The sequence below is a fragment of the Homo sapiens genome, chromosome 6 (genome assembly GCF_000001405.40).
Source record: "Homo sapiens chromosome 6, GRCh38.p14 Primary Assembly".
Taxonomy (NCBI): Eukaryota; Metazoa; Chordata; class Mammalia; order Primates; family Hominidae; genus Homo; species Homo sapiens.
The window spans coordinates 14,783,308-14,806,130 of record NC_000006.12 but is presented as its reverse complement, the minus strand read 5'-3'; the positions used below and the strand labels follow the sequence as shown (position 1 = coordinate 14,806,130).

Sequence of the window (22,823 nt, the reverse complement as noted above, 5' to 3'; positions counted from 1 at the left end):
TATTTGTGGAATGAGGGGAGGATTATCTGGCTGGCATCCCCAGCGTCTGGGCCCACAGTTCAGGGTGTCAGTGTGTTAAAATGATTCCAGGGGTTGATTGGGCATGAGCTGAAGGGCTTCCAATGAGAGGTGTAGGTGACAATGTTTATTTATAAAGGCATAATTTAGAGAATTATGAGACTCATTTGCCTTCTCTGTTCCTCCAAATTCAACTCTCCTGCCCCCTTCTTCTTCTAGTTCTTTTTTGAATGGAATGTCAATGTCACCCACTCACTGGTTTTATATAGCTCTTATTGAAGTAAAATGCAACGGAAATTGTGCATATTAATTAAAAGCTCAGAATGTGCACAGTTTTGGAACTGCTAATTAAAACTCTTACCAATCAGGTTGCATTAGTGGTTTTAAACACTTTTCTTTTCCTGAACCTAGAACTTTGCTAACCAGAGAAGACGACTTTTAAAGAGGCAATTGTCAGGAATGATAGCACCTTTTTTTTAAATTTTAATGTTAAATTTTAATTTTAGAGTCTCACTCTGTCGCCCAGGCTGGAGTATAGTGGCTTGATCTTGGCTCACTGCAACCTCCGCCTCCTGGGTTCAAGCAGTTCCCCTGCCTCAGCCTCCCAAATAGCTGGGACTACAGGTGCACGCCACCATGCCTGGCTAATTTTTTGTATTTCAGTAGAGATGGGGTTTCACCATGTTGGCCAGGATGGTCTCAATCTCCTGACCTCATGATCCATCCACCTTGGCCTCCTAAAGTGCTGGGATTACAGGTGTGAGCCACCGCGCCCGGCCCAGAATCTTGTTTTAAAAACTGCTGTATGTACCTCCAGTGAAATCTGAGGTTTGGTGTCTCCCGGGCACTTTGAAGGTTATTGAGAGGGCACAAGTGATTTCTAAATCCCTTCCTTCTGCCCTCAAAGGATGGCTGCCACTGTGCAGGTAGCATAGCTGTTGGGAAAGGGCCTGAAAGCTCCTTCCTCCTCAGGCAGGTCAAGAGAAGCACGTGTCATCAGTTTCTGGGACTGTCTGGGCAACCATGGCCTCTGAAGTTTGAGCTCATGCTCTGCCCATGGCTGCAGCTGCCTGTGGTAAGCCGAATGAATTCCAGGAGGGAAGATGACAGAAGAGGCTCAAGGCTCCGGCTCTGTTCCCTGCTCTGCTTTCTTTCAGAGCCTGGAATTCTCCACCAAGCCCATCGCTGCTGCGTGGCTTTCTGGGCGCCGTGCCAAGGACTCACACTGGACTCTGTATTCAGCCCCAGATTGCATCCTGCCTCGGCGTTTGGGGTGGGGCGGCCCAGCAGGGCTCCCCTTGTGACTGGAGTCAGAGTTTGCCTGGGCTCCCCTGAGGCGGGCCTAGGCCGGGGTCGTGAGGCTGCTCCAACAAGCAGCCCCATTGTATCCCAGCCTGGGAGTGCACAGAGAGCGGCTCCTGTGATGGAGAAGCCCCTGTGCCTCTGCAGGGTTTGATTCCACCCAACCAGGCGAAGCCATGTGGTGAGCATGTGCTCGAGGCTGCCTGTGGTCGGGGACACGGGCTGGCCATGTGCTATGAGTTTGGGCTTCCTTTCTTTTTCAGAAGGTGTTTGATTCATGCAAAATGCTTAACGATGCCTGCTATGCACCTCATGGGGGATCAGATCCCCTTTGATGTGCGAGGTCTTTTTGGAGGTTCCAAAAAAACAGTTCAAAAGGTTTACTTTGGACACCACACCTCCAGCACATGTCGAAGTCAAAGCCAGGCTCCCCAGGCAGCACGCTGGAGAAAATATTTTGTGCCAGTTTCTTCCTCTTTCTCTGCTGTGTCTTGTGCTGAGCACAGATTTTTGACTTCACACTGTCCTGGTGGTGAAAAGAGGAGACTGAGCAAAGGAAAATAAACATCACTGAGCTTTTTGAGTGTCCAGGGAAGCAAAAGTGCACCGCGGTCTTTCAGTCCTGCTGAAACTGGGTGGTGAGAGCCGGGTGGATGAGCTGCCTGTGCTGACAGATCCTCCCTCATGCCTTAGGGCTTGGAGCGGTCCGAGGGAAGCACAGGCATTAACAGAGCCATCTGCCCGCCCCATGTGGGTCAAACCACAGTTTTGCCTGGGCTTGTGGTCAGGTGGCAGGCACAGTGCTGTTACCCTGTCTCCTCTCTTCCACGGTGCGTGTGACTTAGGGATGGCTCTGCAAAGATGGGGGTGCAGAGTGCAGAATGGGAGGCAGGACTGGAGACCCATGAAAGGGAAGGTTGGGACCCATGGAGAAATCATGTCTTATGCTGCATTGTTCTGAGAATTTCCTTGCTCTTCCCTGTGCCCCAGGCGTGGGGATGGAGAAGGTACCACCACCTCGTGAGCTCTGCTCACGAGCCGGGGGCTGTAGTGGTGGGATGGAGTGGGATTTCTCCCTGATTCTCTGGAGAAAGCAAAGCAGAAACATACCTTATCATGGATGTAGCCATGGCCTTGAAATCAGGGGCTCAGGGAAGGAATTTCTCCACTGTCTTGTCTAATTATCAGGAGTCCCTTGGAGGAAGTCATTTTTCTGTCTTATGGGGTATTTACCCACCAGCCAGGGTGGATGTTTCTGCAGTGACCAAACTGCTGTACACAAGTGAGGGGAGGGCTGGTGGACTCCAGATTACTTGGTCTTTCACTCTGCAAAAGAAAATGTTTTAGGGCCGGGAGCGGTGGCTCATGCCTGTAATCCCAGCACTTTGGGAGGTCAAGGTGGGCAGATCATGAGGGCAGGAGATGGCTAACACGGTGAAACCCTGCCTCCACTGAAAATACAAAAAAAAAAAAAAAAATTAACTGGGCATGGTGGTACATGCCTGTAGTTCCAGCTACTCGGGAGGCTGAGGCAGGAGAATCACTTGAACCGGGGAGGTGGAGGTTGCAGTGAGCCAAGATTGTGCCACTGCACTCCAGCCTGGATGACAGAGCGAGACTCTATATCAAAAAAAAAAGAAAGAAAAGGTTTTAAAATTTACAAGTCGAGGAACAGCACAGGCTCCGGGTGGGCCCAGAGACCAGAATCTGGAGTGTTTGCTAGCACAGGTGTGCAGGAGTGGCAGCGGGGAGGGACACGACCCAGAGGCCCCCACAGCTCTGCTTTCTGTGCCCTAGGGATGATATCATTTATTTCTATCCTTGCACGATGCAGGTGACTGCCCCCAGCAACCCCCAACCCCCTCACCAAAACTGGCATCTCTGAAAAGCCACAAATGCTCAGTCAGCCTCCAGTGCGATTTTAGCACAACATATGGAAATCTACTGGGGCCAACTCTGCAACTATCTGGCAAATGATAGGTATGTAGAATTGCAAACTATTCTTTATGCAGTTTAACTCAGGCTTTTGTATCACTCTCCAGTTTCCCTTCATAGATTTCCTTGAAGTTCTGCAAGTCCCCTCCCTCATCTGTGGCTGAAAATAATCCCTATGCACCGTCCAGTCTCTGTTAGGCTAAGACTGCTCCGTTGTCCTGCTCCTAGAGGAATTCAATGAATTATTCTTTTTCTTTCCTGGGTTCATGTCCTTGGAGATCCCCTCTGGCTTCAGAGCATCCCTACACATTTCTCTGTCGCTTCATGCTGTGGCTTTGCCAGTTTTCTCATGTTTTCTGAAATCCCTTCTTTTTAGCAGAGGTAGGTTTCTGCCCAGGCATCATTTTCTTAGTCTTTGCGTATCACATTCTGTCAGCCCTTCTCTCCGTGTCACTCTAGGTTCTTCTTTTCATTTTAGAACAGATGTTAGCATTTTAAAAAGTCCATTTCTGATTGAGTTAGCAATTCATGATTAGTTACTCTGGGTCAAGCAGTGTACCAGGCACTTTCATTTCTCAGTAATTTACAGGGCACTCCTGCATTGCTATTCCATTTTTAGACATGAAAATACTGTCACCCGATGAGTTACACTGGTAGTAAGTAGTGGAGAAGCTCCTCTAACACAAAATCAAATTCTCTTTTCTCTGTATCACATGTGGTTCCCTCATAGCTAGATGGAGACCACTCTCAATTTCACATAACATTTAGAAATGTCTCCAGTTCTGGCCGGGCTCAGTGGCTCACGCCTGTAATCCCAGCACTTTGGGAGGCTGAGGCGGGTGAATCACTTGGGGCCAGGAGTTCAAGGCCCGCCTGAACAACATGGCAAAACCCTGTCTCTACTAAAAACACAAAAATTAGCCAGTCATGGTGGTGCATGCCTATAATCCCAGCTACTCAGGAGGCTGAGGTGGGAGGATCGCTTGAACTCGGGAGACGGATGTTACAGTGAGCTGTGATCAGGCTCCTGCACTCCAGCCTGGGTGACAGAATGAGACTCTATCGCAAAAAAAAAAAAAAAAAAAAAAAGAAAGAAATGTTTCCAGTTCCCCCACATGCCTGTCTTGGAGAGGTAACTAATCCAAAGTGACAGATGAAACTCCATTTCTTGTGTGTGTGTTTTATTTAATGTTGGTCAATATTGTGGACAGACATTACCCTCCCCTTTAGCGAACAATGAAACAATTGATTAGTTTAAAGATCCAGCTCCAGATTTGTATGTCTATGACATGGAATGAAAATCCATGTATATTACTCCTCTCTTCATCAATCCATCTCCTGATTTTGTTCAGGCCTGCTTGTCCTTTCCTTTTCTAGTTTTGGTGCCTGGACATCCAGGCCAATTTACATAGCCACTTTTCTCTGGCTCTTGAGTCACTCAGCATGAGGCACAACACGGGCCAATAGGACAACACACAGATATTTGTTATATGGGCAGCAGGAACAGAGGTACTGAGAGATTATCTCAAATATTAACAGTGCATGACTTAAAAACAAAATATGCAATGGACTGGGACCAATTCCATGTCCTCTAGGACCAGAAACAGGAAGACATATTGGAGGCGCTGGGAGTCCAAGTCATAAAGTCAAAAGGAAGAAGACATTGATAATCAGCCTGGGACCATCCATAACTGGAGAATTTGAAGCAGAGGGAAAATAAGTGATTTGGGAAAGGAAAAACAGATTCAAACACCACAAAATCTTATCTCAAATTGGGAGACCCCTTGACCCTGGAATGGTGTTATTCATGAAGGTTTAAGTTGCATAGCTCCACCATGCTCGCCATTGGTGCCTCTTGTGTGGAGGTTAATAATGTACAGCACTGCTCTGAAGTATTTTTGTGTCCGTTTGGTCTTCCTGGCTTGAGGATGAAGTTCTTAAGGGCTGGATAACGTCATACACAGATGCTCCTCGACTTACAATGGAGTAAGGTCCCAGTAAAGCCATCATAACTTCAAAATATTGTAGGTTGAAAATGCATTAAGTGCACCTCATCAACTGAACTTATCGTAGCTTAGCGTAGCCTACCTGAAACATGCTCAGAACACTTACATGAACCTGCAGCTAGGCAGACACCTCTAATGCAAAGCCTATTTTATAAACAAGTCTTGAAAATATCATATAATTTATTGAATACTGTACTGAAAGTGAAAAACAGAATGGTTGTATGGGTACTTGAAATACGGCTTCTACTGAATGCATACGAGTTTCGCACCATCATAACATCATAAAATCGTTCAGTTGAACATTGTAAGTCAGGGACTGTCTGTTTATCTTAGTGCCAAGTAGAGTGCCTTGAATGGAGCAGATGACCAAAAATATTAACTGATTGGTAAATCGATTGACATATAATTAAAAACTCAAATGAACATGAGACTTGAATAAATCACAATTTAAATGTGTTCCTTGTCAGTCGTACTGTTAAGGTGGAAGTCCTGAGCCCCTGTATTTGTTAGGGCACAGGCTTATCTTTTCCTTAAAGATAAGGTATTAAAAAAAGAAAGATCTTGAATTATAGTGATGTAAATAGGATTGAAGTTTCCTTTTCTCTTATGTAACAGTGTGCAGAGGTCAGCAGGCTGGGGCTGGGTCCAAGGAAGCAGCTACAGCTGCAGCCAGCAGGAAGGAGGAAAAAAGCCAGAACCATGGGTTTGTGTTGTTTCCCAGGGCTGTGACCTAGAAGTGGTATTTATCCTTCTGCTCACATCTCATTGGCTATAACTTGATCACATGGCCACACCAAGCTGCAAGGGAGCCTGGGAAATGTAGTCTTCATCTGAAGGGCTGTGCCCAAGTACAATGTGGGAGTTCCATTGTTAGAGATGGGGAGAATGGGTATTACAGCCTCTGATATAGTTCCTAAAGTAAAATTCCCTAAGAGCCTCCCCTTAATCTGAATCAGTTGCAAAATAAATCTTGAGTAGAGCCAGCTTTTCTGTTTTACTCTCTGTGGGTGTAGTAGTTTTGTTTACTTTGACAAGACAGCTCTCATTGACAATTTCTGTGATTTCATGAAAAAGTGGAGTTTTTTATTTTTATGAGACAAACATTTATATTTCATTTTTACATAAAAGATACTCCTTCTCCATAAAGCCAATAGAGGCAGAAAAAGTACACTCGTTAATAAATTCTTAGATTTCCCAGAAAGGTAGATACCATAGTATAGGGATTAAGACAGCAATCCAGGAGGAGGAGGTAGTGGGAGGAAAATCTAGAACTGTCCAAAGGATCAGACGTCTATGGTTTGGGGTACCACCTCGACCATTTATTAGCTGTGTGATCATGATCACTTTACTTAACTGCTCTGAACCTCAGTTTTCTCTTCTGTAAAATATGGATGATAATATGCACCTCATTACAGAATTGATCCTGAGAATAAAAGAGGTGTTACAGGTAAAGCACTTTGGGCTGGGTCTAGTTTGTAAAAGTTGCTTAGTGAAGCCAACTTCCTTCCTCCCTCCCTCCCTCTCTTCCTTCCTTCCTTCCCTTCTTTCCTCCCTCCCTCCCTTCCTTCCTGTCTTCCTGCCTTCCTGCCTTCCTTCCCTCCCTCCTTCCTAAGAACAAGGGCTTAGCATTGTTCTTGTGAGGTCATTGTTCTTGTAATGTTAAAAAAGGGAGTAGCATTGTCCTTGTAATGCTAATGTCCTCCCTCCTTCCTTCCTTCCTTCCTTCCTTCCCTCACTCCCCAATTCCTAAAAAAAGGGATTAGCATAGTCCTTGTAAGTAAGTGGAAGAACCTCTGAAGGCATTCCCTGTGGTTACCCATCAATACTCACAGCCTGGGAGCAGTCCTTCAGAAGTAGCTAAAAAACCCCCAAATTTTAGCTCTGATCTAAACACAGGGCAGTAACCAAACCAGCCAGAGGAGCTGGGGACAAAGCTGAGGCAACTAACAGCACAGGAGAAATTCCCTTCTCTCTGCACTGAATACATCTTTAAGTGGTACTGACCCTGCGAACTGGGGAGTCAGGAGCTGAGGGCAAGCAACAGGTGTCTGCGGAGCTGGAGAACATGATACCCCTAGCCCTTTAGAAGCTGTGTGAGGAGGCTGAGAATGTTGGGGAGGGGGCCCATTATAAACTGGAAACAGAACCCACCTGACGAAGGTTTGGGATATGAGAGAAAACATGGCTTCTGCAGGAAACAGGCTGGATATTCTGGGCTGACCCATCCATTTGTTTGTGGAGCACGAGCAAAGCCAAGGCTAGAAAGATGAGCCACACTTGGGCTCCATGGTGCAGCTAATGGGCTGGACAGAAAGGCTGGACTCCCAGTGAGGCTGGAAGACCTCCCTCAGGGATGCAGGTCCAAGGCTGTTTGGGCTCCTGGGGCCAAGGGAGGAAACCTGGAGGAATTTAGACACAGTGGGAAAGGGTGCATTTTTTTCTATGATGAAGACATTCCCTCCTAGGCAGACACTCTTGTTTGTAATGTAGGAGGAGAGTCTTGCTTCTAGGCTGGATGTGCTGACTCTACAGGGGGAGGGAGGTGGGGAAGCAAGACATTGTGATAAGAAGATTTAAAAGCTTACCAACTTGAACCTACTTATCCCTGCTCTGTTTTCCTGGAGGCAGCCTTAGAAAAATAAGCCCTGTCCCTCCCTTCCTCCCTCCCCCAACCCTTCCCTCCCTTTTTCCCCTCTCCCTCTCTCCTGCCCTCCCTCCCCTCCTTTTTTCCTCCCTTCCTCCTCTCCTTCCTTCCTTTCTTCCTTCCTTCCATCCATACCCTCTCTTCCTTTTTTTCCCTAGCCTTTGTCTCTCTATGCTTCTCTTCTTTCCTTCCCTTCTAACACACATTCATTTAATCCTGATTATTTGCCAGATACTGTCTTAAGAGTTGGGAAAAACAACCAGTGAAGAAAGATTAAAATTCTAATTGAGGAGACAAACAATTAACATCAATTGCTGCCCAAACATCTTTATCTTTGTTCTCTCCAGGTCAAGTCTATACCTGGCCTTTTCCCCTAGGCCCATAACATGCAGCCCTAAATTGCATTCACTTGGTAGTCAGTGAGGGGGTGATTTGTTCTTTTGCAAGGAAGTTTCAGGGAATAGACTGTGGCTGCTGAACACTGTTTTACAAATCACCTGCACCCTATAGATGTTGACAGTGTAGAACTCTACCCAGAATTTGAAGTCTCCTCCCCTGGGGGCATATGAGAGACTGAGATGAGATGAGATGATGAAATCTCCTGAAATACACAGGCAAGCCATGGGAGAGCCAAAAGATTTCTGCCCCAGAGAACTGGAGTAATTTTGGTTGGTTTTTGGGAAAACATTCTAAGATGGGCACAGCATTGTGCAAGGTCTCAAAGCTCAGCTGCCAAATAATGGTGTTCAGTACTTAATCCTGTTGATTTGTATGATAATGTTTTACCCATTTTCAAGATCAGTCCATACACAATTATGGCAATGTAAAGTTATTCTTTTTTTTTTTTTTTTTGATTTAAGATTCCCCAATATATGTTGTAAATAGAATTGGCATGGCTGAGATTTATTTTTGGTATCATGAAAGAAGCTTTTAGATTTCAATTTAGAAAACTGGGACAGGAACACCATTTCTGGCCATTTTTGGCCACACTTGTTAATTTACAAAATGAGGATAAGAGAGGCCAATTTAGAGAAGTTGTGGGGATTAAATATGATAAATGGAAAGATACACGGTCAACTCTCAAGCATTGTAGAGATGTTAGATTGTATTATGACTGTGACTGTTATTCCTCAAGTGTCAGCTTACTTTTAAACAGCTTTGAATGGCCTGGTATCAACTTGGGCATTTTGAAGATCAACTATTCAGGGTATGAAACTAAAAAATAATTGCGATGGTTGGACAGGGACTATGAAAATCTGTTCCCATGCTCCTTTCGATATAACAGTTCTCTAAAACATTTGGAATTGTCTTTAGAGATGTCGTCATGGTTCATTTTCTTTCCCAAGGCATAAGACTTAGGCAATTGTTTTGGGATTAAAGTACATTTTATAATTGGGAAGAACAATCTCTGCCCAGTGATGGTGAAAATGCCAGGGGGAATTTTTGGACAATTGTACCCGTTTATGACTTCTTCTTTCTCCCTTGAAGAGAGGCTAACTTGTGGAAATCTTCTATCTAGATGGCAAGGTTATAACATTGGTTAACATGTTACCAAAGTTAACTTGCTTGGAGGAGCTGCCAAGGGCATTATTAGGTTATCTACCAGGATGCCAAAAATATTTCCAAGATGGAAGGAGATCCATGTTGACTATCAAGGGCCTTTGCTTTAGACAGCTTTTACCGCTGACACCCAGAGCTGGTGATATGGAGCAAAACGAGTCTGAAAGCCAGGCATGTGTTTCCGGACAAACATGGCCTGGACAAACAGCTCCTCTCTTCTCTCTGTCAGTTTCTTCCTCTGTCAAATGGAAAGTCCATTGCTAGATTTCTACCTCACAAGGTTGGTCTGCGAAGATGTGAAGACCCTGCCAGAGGAGTGTCTCAATACAGAGTACTCTTCTGTGGGCTAAAAGAGCTGTGTTTCAAACACTGGAATACATAAAGCATAACTCCTTTGCAGCCCACACCTTCTAGGAAGTAATATGGACTGAAAACCAGTGATCCATATCCTGCCAGGTAGAAAGCTGTGCTTTGGGAGCTGGAAGAGAACTCTTCCTGCCACTATGGTACCATTTATTATTTTATAGAATACTCAGTTGGTTTGCAAAGAGCAGACCCATTAAGTAAAATAAAACAAAATTAGCTCTGTGATCTTATAAATTGGTCTGTTCTGATGACAACAGACAATGATAGAAAGAAATTGTTACTTGCTATAGATGTTCTAGTTATTGTAAACATAGGACTGTGGTTTTCATGGGATGCTAAATGAAGGAATCGTTCTCCTTTTAGCATCTGGACGTCAATCCAGTCCTACTTCTGTTGAATGCCGCAGAGTACACTTTAAACCGTTGGGACCTTTAATACCCACTGACAGACTGCCAATGAAGACCCGCTGTGTTCTGAATTGCAAAATGGGGGAGGGAGGGAAGAACACTAGCAACAGGATGGGATGTGAGGTCCGTTCCTGCTTGTGGCACAAGTCCAGTTGGTCAAACGTAGAGGTTGGAGGAATCTGGAGAGAGATACGGTGACAGGCTTAGTTCCTCAGGCAAGGACCAGGCTAGTCACAGTCCGGGTATTTAGTTTCTGACCTTCTTGGTGAGGCAAAACCATATGCTCCTGGTTCGGAGAAAACCAAACAATAATCTGAAAGCCAACCCCAGGAGGAACCAACTGAGAGTTGTGCAGAGGCCAGTGAGGGTGACCTCATTTCTCACTGCTCTGCTCTCTGCTCTTAGATGGCCAGCACCGGGTTCTGTTTTGTTCTGTCTCCCATCCTAGTTCAAGGACAAATACCCTCTGGCTCTGAGCTTACCCTGCTTATGGCTTGACACATGTGTGCCTATTTCTTTTTCTCTTCTTTCTTTTTTTTTTTTTTTTTTTTGAGACGGGGTCTCACTCACCTCAGCCTCCCTAGTAGCTGGGACCACAGGTATGGGCCACCACTCTTGGCTAATTTTTGTATTTTTTTGTAGAGACTTGATCTTGCCATGTTGCCCAGGCTGGTCTCAAACTCCTGGACTCAAGTGATCTGCCTGCCTCTGGCCTCCCAAAGTGCTGGAGTTACAGGTGTGAGCCATCACACCTGGCCCTACTTTTTGAAAAAGCAAAGTACTTGTGATAACACATCACTAAGGAGCAGGCGGACTATCAGCCCAAGGCTCCCAAAGCACATTTCCTACTGTCTTTTACCAATACATGCAGCTCATCTCCACTATCTCCATCCAGAGCAGGTATGTAGAAGGTCAAATCTTAAGGGGCTTTAGGGTTCATTTTATAGTCCACCCTCCTCGCTTTTAAAGATGAGACAAGGGAAGCCCAAGAATTAAAGTGATTTTCCAAGACCACAGGTGGTCAGCGGCCGAGCTGTCAGAAGAACCTCATTTCCCATGTCTTCCATGCGGACGTCCCTGTGGGCAAAGATCCTGGACACTGTGCGAGTGGTGCTCTGGGCTGTGCAGCGACTCCTGGCCTACTGCCTTTTCAGGGCTGTGCCCTTGGGATTGTGGCCTTTGTCTCCTTTGTCCTTTTTTAGGGTTATCCCTGGTATGGTTTTAATATGCCATTAGACCCTTGAACAGTGTGGGAGTTAGGAGCACTGACTCCCACCCCTATGGAGAGAAAAATCTGCATAGGAACTTTTTGTTTTTTTTTTAACAAGGGCTTGCTCTATCACCCAGGTTGGAGAGCAGTAGTGTGATCACAGCTCATTGCAACCTCGACCACCCCCCATGCCCCACCCGGCTCAGATGATTCTCTTGCCTCAGCCTCTCGAGTAGCTGGGACTACAGGTATGCACTACCACATTCGGCTAATTTTAAAAATACCTTTAGTGGAGATGAGGTTTCTGCCATGTTGCCCTGGCTGGTCTCTAACTCCTGAGCTCAAGTGGTCCTCTCGCCTCAGCCTCCCAATGTGCTAGGATTACAGGCATGAACCACTGCGCCCAGCCTGTGTGGAACTTTCAATTCCCCTGAAACTTAATTACTAACAGCCTACTGTTGACCAGAAGCCTCACCAACAACATAAACAGTCAATTAACACATACTTAGTATGTTATGTGTATTATATACTATATTCCTACAATAAAATAAACCAGAGCAAAGAAAATGTCATTAAGAAAATCATAAAGAAGAGAAACTATATTTACTATTCATGAAATGGAAGTGGATCATCATAAGGGTCTTTGTCTTCATCATGTTGATGTTGAGTTGGCTGAGGAGGAGTGGGGGTGGTGGTCTTGTGGTCTCAGTGGTGGCAGAAGCAGAAGGAAACCTGCCTGTAAGTGGACCCTCATGGTTCAAAACCATGTTGTTTAAGGGTCAACAGTCAGTGTCCCTCTAAAATTTCTGTGTTGGAAGCTGAACCCCAAGGTGATTGTATTAAGATGTGGAACCACTGGGAGGTGATTAGGCCACGAGGAATCTGCCCTCAGGAATGGGATTAGTGCCCCTTATAAAAGGGCTTGAGGGAGTGAGTTTGTCTCTTCTTATCCTTTAGCTTCTTCTGCTGCATGAGGACACAGACAGAAGATATCTTCTTCTTGGAAATAGAAACAAGCCCTTATTAGATATGAAATCTGCTGGTATCTTGATTTAAGACTTTTCAGCTTCCAGAACTGTGAAAAATAAATTTCTATTATTTATATATTACCCAGTCTAAAGTCATTTTGTTATAGCAGAAGGAATGGCCTGAGCCTGTCACTTAATATCACTGAGCCTCTCTTTCCTCAAAATAAGAATCCCTCACACATTTATACGGCTGAGTTGATGTTCATATGAACTAATAAATGGAAATAAGTGCCATTTGTAATTTTAAAACATTCTGCCAGCGTAAGATGTGATAATGTACATACCTACAACATAACATCATCATTCCACTTTTTTTCTGGCCTGGAGCACCTCAATCCCTAGGTTGGCTTTAATTAATTTCAGGTGTATGATTAAAATGTTAATGATGCCCTCATTCATCTCTGGGCACTTAATTGTCCTACAAGGTCTCGGATACCAGTTGTGCTCTGCACTCTCAAGATCAGCAGGGCTTCGTAAAGAGAGCCTGTCTTTATCACATTAAGAAATCCCCACTCCAGCAAAAGATAAACTGAAGGATTGATCATTATTGTTGCAAATCAATTCCAGAGAAATCTTTAATATGAAGCTCTGCTGATGCATAGAGAATGGTTCCAATTGCAAAACTTCAGATGAACATGTGACTTGCTGAGAACCTGACTATTGTTTGAAATCAGGAGAAACATGGTTTTAGCCTAAAATCATGGGAATCTTAGGAATAAATAAAGGTAAACACTGGTCCTTGGCAGGGGTAGGGAAAGAGTTTCTAGTGACCTTTGTGACCAAGGACTAAGTGCGATCCTTGAAAAACGGATATTTTAAACCCATTCACGTAACTGTGTTGATGTTGCTGAAGTCTAACCTTCTTTCCTCCAAATCTCCTCTTCCTGGTGACGACATGGGTGAGTGGAGTGGCTAACTCTCTGCAGCTATCTGCTAGGACATCTACAGTCCAAAGCAAGGAAGGAAATAAATGAAAGTTCTTGTTTCAAGAGAATTCTCTCAAAGTGAAGCTCCAAATGTCTGCTGTTGTCTTTGTTATTTTGTTCAGTGAGGATTTTCTTGGTTTCTGCATGTCTGGCTTGGTGGATAATCTTTTGAATGTGGAGGGATACTTTAGACTGGAAACAATAGCATCTTAGGCATTAGAAAAGCTTGAATAATTCATTTTTCATACCTGCTGCAATGTGTTAATGACCAAAGGTTGCACAAAACATGAAGTATTTGGATCTCCTGATACGGAAAGTTAGCAAAAATGCTTCTTGCTCTTTTCCACTGCTGTTCCAAGCTCACATCTGTTTGGAACTGAACCGTAGCATGTGTGCTGGGGAACCTGTATGAAATTAACTTTTATAGCTGCCTTTACAAGCAGGATCTTTTATTGTCTACAACTTGGCAGAGATTCAGGAAGTTCCCAAAATGATTTATTGTCATATGTGCCTATTCTATGGTGGATGATGAAACTGATATATTATTGAACATATGCAGTCATTCTGGTTAGAGACAACAGATCATCTAAGCCTTTTATACAAAAGGATCAAAGAATTCACGTTGTGGAAAGGAAAAAAAAGTTGAGCATTTTGTTTTAAGCAAAATAATTACTTGCAGGAACAAAACATTTGTTCCCAATCCTGTAATTCTTTTCTGTTTGCCAACATAGTAAAAACTTATTAGAATGTAGAATACATTCTTTAAGTAAATATTTAAGGTTATATTTCCCCAATAAATGTTTGATTACATTCCTATAATATCTGAGATAGTTAGTTCTGTTTATTAGGCCATGATAATAAGAATCAAAGATCATAAATTTAAATTTCTTTCATGTTACTGAATGCAAACCCTCTCACCGAAATTCTTCCAGTTAAACAGAGGGGCCCCTTTAATCAGACCAGTCATGCTCCATATGGTTGCAAGAGGAATTCGGTGAAATGGTGAGCAATGCAATGGAGTTTCTACTAAGAGAAAACCACAGAAGCATGTTTTTCTGTTGTTGAGTCAGGAGAATTTCCATACATAAAAGACAACACATTCAATGACAATAACAACAACAACCTAACACTTAATTACTTCAAAATACAGAAAAGAAAAAGATTAAATGTAATTCTAGGATATGCATTTATAGCATTGAAAGCATTTAATCCTATGTCAAAATCTGGAGCTTTGGAATTCAATGTGTCCTGTCTCAGCCAGATAGCTAATTGACACATTCATATTTCAATTGGAAATGGGTAGTCAAAGTTCTGGGGGTTTCAGATGGATTTGGAAATTAAGCTACGTGACTCCAGATCTTACAAGGCTGTGTTAACCAGTGAGAAGATTTAGATCCAATTTTCTAGTTACAATGTCAATGGAAAACATTTGATTTATAGTGTCAGTGGAAAACAAAAAATAAATCCCTAGGTATTATGTAAACATTTTCTACAGGGTCATTTATAAGGCAAAAGTGAGGGTAGTTACTTCCAATGGAATTAGATCCAGCTTTTGTTTCTTTTAACAGTGTAGACACCCACATTTTTGGAACAGAATTTGGAGCCCGGTTTTGGGATCCTGCCTAGTCTCCACTAATCCTCTTCATTCCAGAAGCACTTTCTCTTAAAAATGGAAGTAATTCATGTAATTGCTACCTCATTCATTTTCATAAGAAATTTAGATATCAACAGATATCATTTGCTTTCTACAAATAGAAAAATAGAAATGGAATTTAAGGGACTTAGCATGGATTACAAAATTATTTAATATTATCCCCCAAATTCTGGCATTACGTTTCTGTCTATGAGCTGAGCTTGGAACCAGGCTGAGTCCTAGTTGAGTAAGTGCCTTGGTTATATTCAGAATTTGCTTTCCCTCATCTTAATCTGTTAGGCTGATGGTTTGACAGGGTTACATGTTAATAAACTTATTCCTGAGACAGGTAAGTTAGCTTCGTATAGTGAAATAATTTTTTGTAATGGTGGACAAATCTCTTAACTCCGGCTAATAACCTCAGAATAAAATGATCCTGTTCCAAAATGGGTCAGGTGGAAATAGATGTCTCTGTACACTCTTAACTTAAGGCTGGAAGCAAATGATTCAAATGCACGTGTTACTGTCAGGCGTGTCGTCTTTGTGTGTAAAGAAGGATAGCACATTTTCAAAGGGCTTTGAAACAGTTGAATGTGGGTAATGTTAATTTGGTGTAAAACTTCAAGTGGCATATTACTAATGCCAAAGAACAAAGCAATTGAGGATCTGGTAACTAATTACTAACAGCACTGTCACTATTTTATGTAAGTGTGAACAAGAATCATATGTTTCTGATAGTTCATCCTTGTTGATGTACTTAGTGTTACCGGTGAAAGTGTGATAATGAACAGCTAGTTGATTACTGAGAGCTGCCGTGGACTCCTCTTGATAGCAGTGTTTTGTACCCATGCCCAGAGGCCCTGGGGGCAGTGGACATTCTTTAAATAAATGAAAACACTTAATAGATGTTGTGATTTAAAAGCACTATCACAGACTTGAATTAAGAGACCCTGTCATAACAATCTGAAGCTAATGACACTGTGATTTGGTGTTGCAGGAAGCTGTGGAGACTACCAAATGGACTCGTCTAGATTTCACATGCAACGTGGCTCTGCCTTCCCTGAGCACTCTGGGCCTTTCCATGGAGACAGAATGAATAGATAATGGTGAGTAGGGGGGAGCTATATTAATTCAGAGATTCCAGGAGGGGATGAGGAAGATCAAATCAACAGCTGTGGATACCTGGTTTGTGTGTGTGTGTGTGTGTTTAAGAACACTTTATTCAAGAATCTGGAATTTACCTAATGCTCATGATAGGACAAAAATGACTCTATTCCCAAAACTAGGTGATTATGGATTGAAAAGACCCTCGACCAAAGGCTAAAGGTTTGTGTGTTAAAACATAAAAGGGATACTGAAAACATAAAGACAGAGCAATTCCAAGAATTTAGAATCACAGAAGCTTAAATGTGGGGCTAGGAGGGACTTAAAGGTAATTGTCTAATTTGCTGCTGTCTAGCTGATGAGGCCCAGTGACATGAAGAACTTGCAGCTGGTTAATGGGAGAATTAGAATTAAAATCAGCCTCCTAACTCCCAGGCCAGTGCTCTTTCCAGCACATCAATCCCTTAAGAAAATCCAACTCCTAATCTCTAAGCCCCCCTTTACCAAAAAGCATCTGAGTGTGATTTTATCTTTGGGTAGATCACCATGTAGATAACTAGTCTTGTGTGAGACACATCTCATTCCCCATTGTAAATTACTAAATTTACTCTCTGGGATGAATCATCTCATATGCCACTGGGAAGCTTGAACCACTTCCTAGGACCACTGGACTGGGGATCAAAAAATCTGAGCTCAGGCCGTATTTCTGTCAAGTCACTTAACCTTGCAGGTCTGTTCTCTTTATGTTCTCTTTATGAAGTTAGAAGAATGTTTGGGTGATCCCTCAGGGCCCTCTCAGTTCCAAATTGTTAAGATTCTATTTAAACACGTTTGAAGGGGAGACAATGGGGGACAAGATGGTGACTGTCTTTTTATATGCAAATGTACATTGTAAGTTCCAAAAGGGAGTGTGGATATGAACTGCTAGTAGAGGAAATGGACCCAGGTGGCTTGACAGCACCAGTGAGCAAAGCTGGGAAAGACCTAAGAAAGAGGTCTTTGAACAAAATGATGTTTAGATAAAAGGAATGACAAATGAACCTGGTCAACAGAGAATCTAGATTAAGCTCATTGAGAGTCCATTGGCTGAGAACATAGGAGACACTAGATTGTTGAATTTCTCTAAGTCTGGTCTAAAAATGGGATAGGAAAGGAAAATTATTCTATGATCACATAGGTTTTTTTTTTTTTTTTTTTTTTTTTTTTTTTTTTGATGGGGTTCTGCTCTGTCACCCAGGCTGGAGTGCAATGGCACCATCTCAGCTCACTGCAACCTCCACCTCACAGGCTCTAGTGATCCTTCCACCTCAGCCTCCCAAGTAGCTGGGACCACAGGCATACACCACCAAGCCTGACTAATTTGTCTTGTAGTTTTTGTAGATACAGGGTTTCTTCATGTTGCCCAGGCTAGTCTCGAACTCCTGAGCTCAGGGAATCCGCCCACATTGGCCCCGCAAAGTGCTGGGATTATAGGCATGAGCACAGCGCCTGACCCACGTCGGTTTTTATAACATTGAGTAAAACAAAGTTAAATTGGTTTCTTTATGAAGGCCTTCTCAGAACCTTTAATATGATAAAATGCTTTGGGAATCTCCAAGGTACAGAATTTCCCAGATCCATTTGGCCACGGATCACACTGTTTTGTGGTACATTCCATGAGAAATGCTGTCCTAGAACTGACCTGGAGAGAGGGGGAAGGAGAGTTCAGGGTGACACTTTAGAACTTCTGCAGGGATGTAGATCAAAGCTGAAAGGTAAAAACTAAGCGCTTCAAACAGGTTTCCTCCTCCAAACACCAAAGTAGGTTATGAGCATATCTGAGCCTGGGACTGGAAACTGTAAGGTAGTAAAAATCTATGGGAGAGACAGTGACCTTGAAGTGAAGGCTTACAACGAAGTACATGGCTTTTAAAAGGAGGGAGTGGGTAAACTACTCTTTGACTGTCTCATACTTTCAATGATTCCAAATTAGTTGTGTTGCTTATATGGTTTCGTGTTATCCTGGGCTGTAAATGGTATCCACAGCAGAACATCCTCACATTGACTCATTTTTATATGCTTTTATTTATTTTTTTTTGCAAAGATCAATTTTGCAATGTGAGTAAAGGGGGCAGGCTAGAGCTGAGAACTGGGTCTTGGGTGAAGACATGGAATGTCTGTGCTGGAAGGGACCTGGAGTTCTAACTTGAGGTCCCTGGATGTGCATCAGAGGATCAGTGGATTCATGTGCTCAGTTTTGTGAGGATGTGCCCGTCTGCTGTTTCTAGGGGAACAGTGTAAATGGCTTTCAGCAAATTCTCAAATGGGCCTCTAATCCCCAAAGCAGTCAGCAATGCCTTACTGAGGCTTATTTTACAGGGAAAGAAACTGAGGCTCAGAGAGATAAAACAGTTTGCTGGATGTCAGCATGATGGCTTTGATCTTTGGTTGCTGGCAGGAGAGTTCCCCTGAGAGCTGGTAAGCTGTAGGTACAATAAAGAATCTGCTGAGTGAAACTTGACCATGGGTTTTGAGGTTGTCCTCACCCCTGAACTGGAGTAGGCTTTAAGATACGCATTGTACTCCCCATTTGACAGCTAGAATGCAGAAAATACAAATTACTCAGAGTTACCGAAACTTGAACATTTGCACTAAAAGCCCTAAGTCTTGACTCTCCCAAGAAATTACTCACAATTAAAGTGTTATACATTCCATAAACAATATGCAAACAAATCTAGAAATAAATCTGGGTTTTAAACATGCAATAATCATGAAAGGTTTTCTCTGTTTTCAGGATCACTGTGTGTTTTGCCTTGGGTATCACAAGGATTTTGAAATAAAAAGGGTTTTCATTTTACCTTTTAGGAACATGATATAATTTATCTGCATGATTGCATTTTAATTAGCACTCCCATTGCCTTTTTAAACGTGCAAAGATATAAAATGAGCCAACCAAACAGGAAGACACATAGCCAAGGTGTTTGCTACTGTGCTGTTATTGAGCACAGCCTTGGGATGAAGCCTGTACCAGACTCAAGTTTTAATAGTGTGAACTGGTTCAAAATAAAGCCATTTGTATGCATAATATTTTACATAAGGGTTAAGCTGCCTTAGCAATTGTTGATAATGATGGATCTTTGCACAGCCCTGAGGATCTTCAAACATTCTTTGGGAGTAAATCAGGCATTTCTGCAATTAAAAAACCAACGTGTAAAGAATTTTACAGGGAGCATTTTAACACAAGTCTTAGATGGTGAGGTGATGACTCTGGGAACCCTAAAACTACATCAGAGTTGCACCTGTGTGGAGTTGGGTGTGGGGAGGGCAGGGGAAATAATGCAAACCACAAGAGTGGACTTAGTTTTGGAGGGAGGTGTTAACTCTCTTTATAGCACAGCATGAGGTGCTAGCTCAGCATGGTGTGTTCTGCTGTTCTGGGAGCCTCTACTTTTCAAAAATCTGAACTAGGTTATTAAGAAAAAATTAAAGGCAACGTAAAGAGAATTTGCGCTTCCCAACCTTGGAAGCCCTAGCTTGTAACACCTTTCTAAACAAGACCTTTGTGGGTTGAGTAGATGGAGTTCTGGCTGATTCCTTCAGCCTTTTCAGTTGTGGCCATAGGAGGTCAGATGAGCTGTAGCTCAGGCTGGTGGTCAGATGGCTATGATTGTCTGTTAGTAACTTGCTCTCAAAATTAAGTAGATAATTGTTTTAAATAATATGCTATGTGGGTTGGGCATGGTGTATCACGCCTATAACCCCAGCACTTTGGGAGGATCGCTTGAGCCCAGGAGTTTGAGAGCAGCCTGGGCAACATAGTGAGACCCTGTCTCTACAAAAAATTAAAAAGAAAAATTAGGCATGTGTGGTGGTGCATGCTGGTAGTTCCAGCTACTCAGGAGGTTGAAGTGGGAGGATTGTTTTGGCATGGGAGGTTGAGCTGCAGTGAGCTCTGATAGTGCCACTGCGCTCCAGCTTGGGTGACAGAGTGAACCTCTGTATATATTTAAAAAAAAAAGGCTATGAATATTTTATTTAAAATCTGCATTAAGATGAAAGAAAATTGTTATTATATGACTTGTTCAACTACCAGCTAGTTAACTAAAACTGGGATTCATTGGAATAAAATGCATAAACCCTCCCTTTAAGTCACACCATGATCAAAAATCTCCAGAGGAGAAAAAAAATCACATACCTATGTAGCTCTAAAGAGAATGGAAGCAAATCTAGAACTAGTAACACAACTTGTTTAACAGCTGTGGTGTAATTGTGACACTTCATTGAACAAAACTGTTCAATGGGCAGAAAGATTATCGCTATTTTTTGGTGGCATTCAGAATTATGCTTCTTGCAAAGCATTTCCATTTTTGTAATAATACATCATGAGACAGTCCATCCAAAAAGTATCTTGTAAGGATTAGATTGCTCTAAACAACAAATATCAGTTAATAGTGTGAGTCGTCCATAGCTTTCAGGGCCCTAGATATGATAAATAGAGAAACTTGGCATCTGAATTCTTAATGCCTAAACAATGCGCCCTCAACTCAATAACTGACATTGATGATGGCAAGGGCCCCCACTGATGACTTACTTGGCTTCCTCCATCAAATTCCTCATAAAAAAGAGGGAGGGTTGAACAACAAAACAAGGGTGGCAAGCCCAAATCTTTGTCCATTCCAGGCTCTTCACCACTGAGCAGACAAATGAGAGTGAAAGCACAGACTTCCTGCTCTTTCTCTTGCAACCCATTAAGACTTCTCTCTGGTAAACAGGCCTGTGGTTGCTTTTGTTTAGTTTTGTTTAGTTCTCCTCCCTTCCCCCATTTGTTTAAAGCATTGAAAGTCCTACAATTGCTGTGGCCATCATTCTCCCAGACTACAACCTGCACAATGGCAGGGTTACAATGGGAGAGGGAGGCTGGCGGTGATTCCTTTGTGTTTCAGAGAGTTTCAACGAATTTGTCAGGCTGCAGCAGCTATTGCCGTGTAGGTACTGGGCGCCAACCGGTAAGCAGCAGGCTCTTCCGGGTTGATCTGCAGGAACACGTTTTTGCCTTTTAATGTGTCGTGAAGCACGGGTAAGAAGCTCTCGCTGAGTCCTTGCTAGTTCTCACAGTTCTGACTTATGCCCTGAAAACTGTGCAGAGAGCTTGGAGATAGGGTGTTAAGACCGGCAAGAACATCCAGGGCTTTGTGGATGCTCCGTACCCGCCCCCACCTCCTCTGCTGCTGTCACAACCCCACACCATAATTGGCAGTACTTCTCAGGCTTGGGTGGAAAGAGAAGGCAGATAGTTGTAAAAACCAGATAAGATGCACTAATACCAAGGGCTTTAGTTAAAAAATCTTCATAGCTTTTTATTTCCCAACCACCACATTCTCCTAAGACTTGGGTTTGGTCACCTAGAATGTGTGCGATCTTACATGAATCACTAACATGCTCTGGGTTTCAATATCTTCATCAATAAAATTAGAGTAGTTCTCAAAGTGTGGTCCCTGGAACAGCATTCTCAGGGAAGTTGTTAGAAATGCAAGATTCTTAAACCCCAACAGAGACCTACTGAATGGGCCACGCTGGGTGAGGTCTAGCTATCTGTGTAGTTTTAACCAGCCCTTTAGGGAATGCTGTTGCAGGCTCAAGTTTGAGACCGCCTGAAATAGATGATCTTGTGCATTCTTTCTAGCACTGGCATTTCTTTTTTCTTTTGTTTCCTTTTTTTGTTTTTTTGAGACGGAGTCTCTCTCTGTCGCCCAGGCTGGAGTGCAGTGGCGCGATCTCGGCTCACTGCAAGCTCCGTATCCTGGGTTCACGCCATTCTCCTGCCTCGGCCTCCCGATTAGTTGGGACTGCAGGCGCCCGCCACCACGCCCGGTTAATTTTTTTTTTTTGTATTTTTGAGAGGTGACAGCGTGCCGGCAGCCCTTGCAGCCCTCCCTCGCTCTCCGCGCCTCCTCGGCCTTGGCGCCTACTCTGGCCGCGCTTGAGGAGCCCTTCAGCCCACCGCTGCACTGTGGGAGCCCCTTTGTGGGCTGGCCAAGGCAGGAGCTTGCAGGGAGGTGTGGAGGGACAGGCGCGGGCAGGAACCGACGCTGCGCCAGGTGCTTGCCGGCCGGCGCGAGTTCCGGGTGGGCGTGGACTCAGTGGCCCCGCACTCGGAACGGCAAGCCGGCCGGCCCGCAAGCCCCGGGTAGTGAGGGGCTTAGCACCTGGGCCAGCAGCTGTTGTGCTCGATTTCTCGCGGAGCCTTAGCTGCCTCCCCGTGGGGCAGGGCTCGGGACCTGCAGCCCGCCATGCCTGAGCCTCCCCCCGCACACCTCCCTGGGCTCCTGCACAGCCAGAGCCTCCCCGACGAGCGCCGCCCCCTGCTCCACGGCGCCCAGTCCCATCGACCACCCAAGGGCCGAAGAGTGCGGGCGCACGGCGCGGGACTAGCAGGCAGCTCCACCTGCGGCCCAGGTGTGGGATCCACTGGGTGAAGCCAGATGGGTTCCTGAGTCTGGCGGGGACTTGGAGAATCTTTATGTCTAGCTAAGGGATTGTGAATGCACCAATCGACACTCTGTGTCTGGCTCAAGGTTTGTAAATGCACCAATCAGCACTCTGTGTCTAGCTCAAGGTTTGTAAATGCACCAATCAGCACTCTGTGTCTAGCTCAGGGTTTGTAAATACACCAATCGACACTCTGTATCTAGCTAATCTAGTGGG

The 22,823-nt window shown here is 43.9% G+C and overlaps 8 annotated features.

Moving 5' to 3' along the window:
• Window positions 912-1,747: an enhancer, noted in NCBI's record as "H3K4me1 hESC enhancer chr6:14804615-14805450 (GRCh37/hg19 assembly coordinates)". NCBI's record gives its function as "activates a minimal SCP1, AML or CMV promoter by ChIP-STARR-seq in naive H9 embryonic stem cells {active_cell/tissue: H9 hESC(naive)}" and the evidence as "EXISTENCE:reporter gene assay evidence [ECO:0000049][PMID:30033119]".
• Window positions 1,099-1,393: a silencer, noted in NCBI's record as "tiled region #11053; K562 Repressive non-DNase unmatched - State 7:EnhWF". NCBI's record gives its function as "represses a minimal TATA promoter and a strong SV40 promoter by Sharpr-MPRA in K562 cells {active_cell/tissue: K562}" and the evidence as "EXISTENCE:reporter gene assay evidence [ECO:0000049][PMID:27701403]".
• Window positions 20,532-21,083: an enhancer, noted in NCBI's record as "OCT4-NANOG-H3K27ac-H3K4me1 hESC enhancer chr6:14785279-14785830 (GRCh37/hg19 assembly coordinates)". NCBI's record gives its function as "activates a minimal SCP1, AML or CMV promoter by ChIP-STARR-seq in naive H9 embryonic stem cells {active_cell/tissue: H9 hESC(naive)}" and the evidence as "EXISTENCE:reporter gene assay evidence [ECO:0000049][PMID:30033119]".
• Window positions 20,532-21,635: a biological region, named in NCBI's record as "OCT4-NANOG-H3K27ac-H3K4me1 hESC enhancers GRCh37_chr6:14784727-14785278 and GRCh37_chr6:14785279-14785830".
• Window positions 20,899-21,193: an enhancer, noted in NCBI's record as "tiled region #8253; HepG2 Activating non-DNase unmatched - State 21:Repr". NCBI's record gives its function as "activates a minimal TATA promoter and a strong SV40 promoter by Sharpr-MPRA in HepG2 cells {active_cell/tissue: HepG2}" and the evidence as "EXISTENCE:reporter gene assay evidence [ECO:0000049][PMID:27701403]".
• Window positions 20,899-21,193: a silencer, noted in NCBI's record as "tiled region #8253; K562 Repressive non-DNase unmatched - State 7:EnhWF". NCBI's record gives its function as "represses a minimal TATA promoter and a strong SV40 promoter by Sharpr-MPRA in K562 cells {active_cell/tissue: K562}" and the evidence as "EXISTENCE:reporter gene assay evidence [ECO:0000049][PMID:27701403]".
• Window positions 21,084-21,635: an enhancer, noted in NCBI's record as "OCT4-NANOG-H3K27ac-H3K4me1 hESC enhancer chr6:14784727-14785278 (GRCh37/hg19 assembly coordinates)". NCBI's record gives its function as "activates a minimal SCP1, AML or CMV promoter by ChIP-STARR-seq in naive and primed H9 embryonic stem cells {active_cell/tissue: H9 hESC(naive and primed)}" and the evidence as "EXISTENCE:reporter gene assay evidence [ECO:0000049][PMID:30033119]".
• Window positions 21,636-22,187: an enhancer, noted in NCBI's record as "NANOG-H3K27ac-H3K4me1 hESC enhancer chr6:14784175-14784726 (GRCh37/hg19 assembly coordinates)". NCBI's record gives its function as "activates a minimal SCP1, AML or CMV promoter by ChIP-STARR-seq in naive H9 embryonic stem cells {active_cell/tissue: H9 hESC(naive)}" and the evidence as "EXISTENCE:reporter gene assay evidence [ECO:0000049][PMID:30033119]".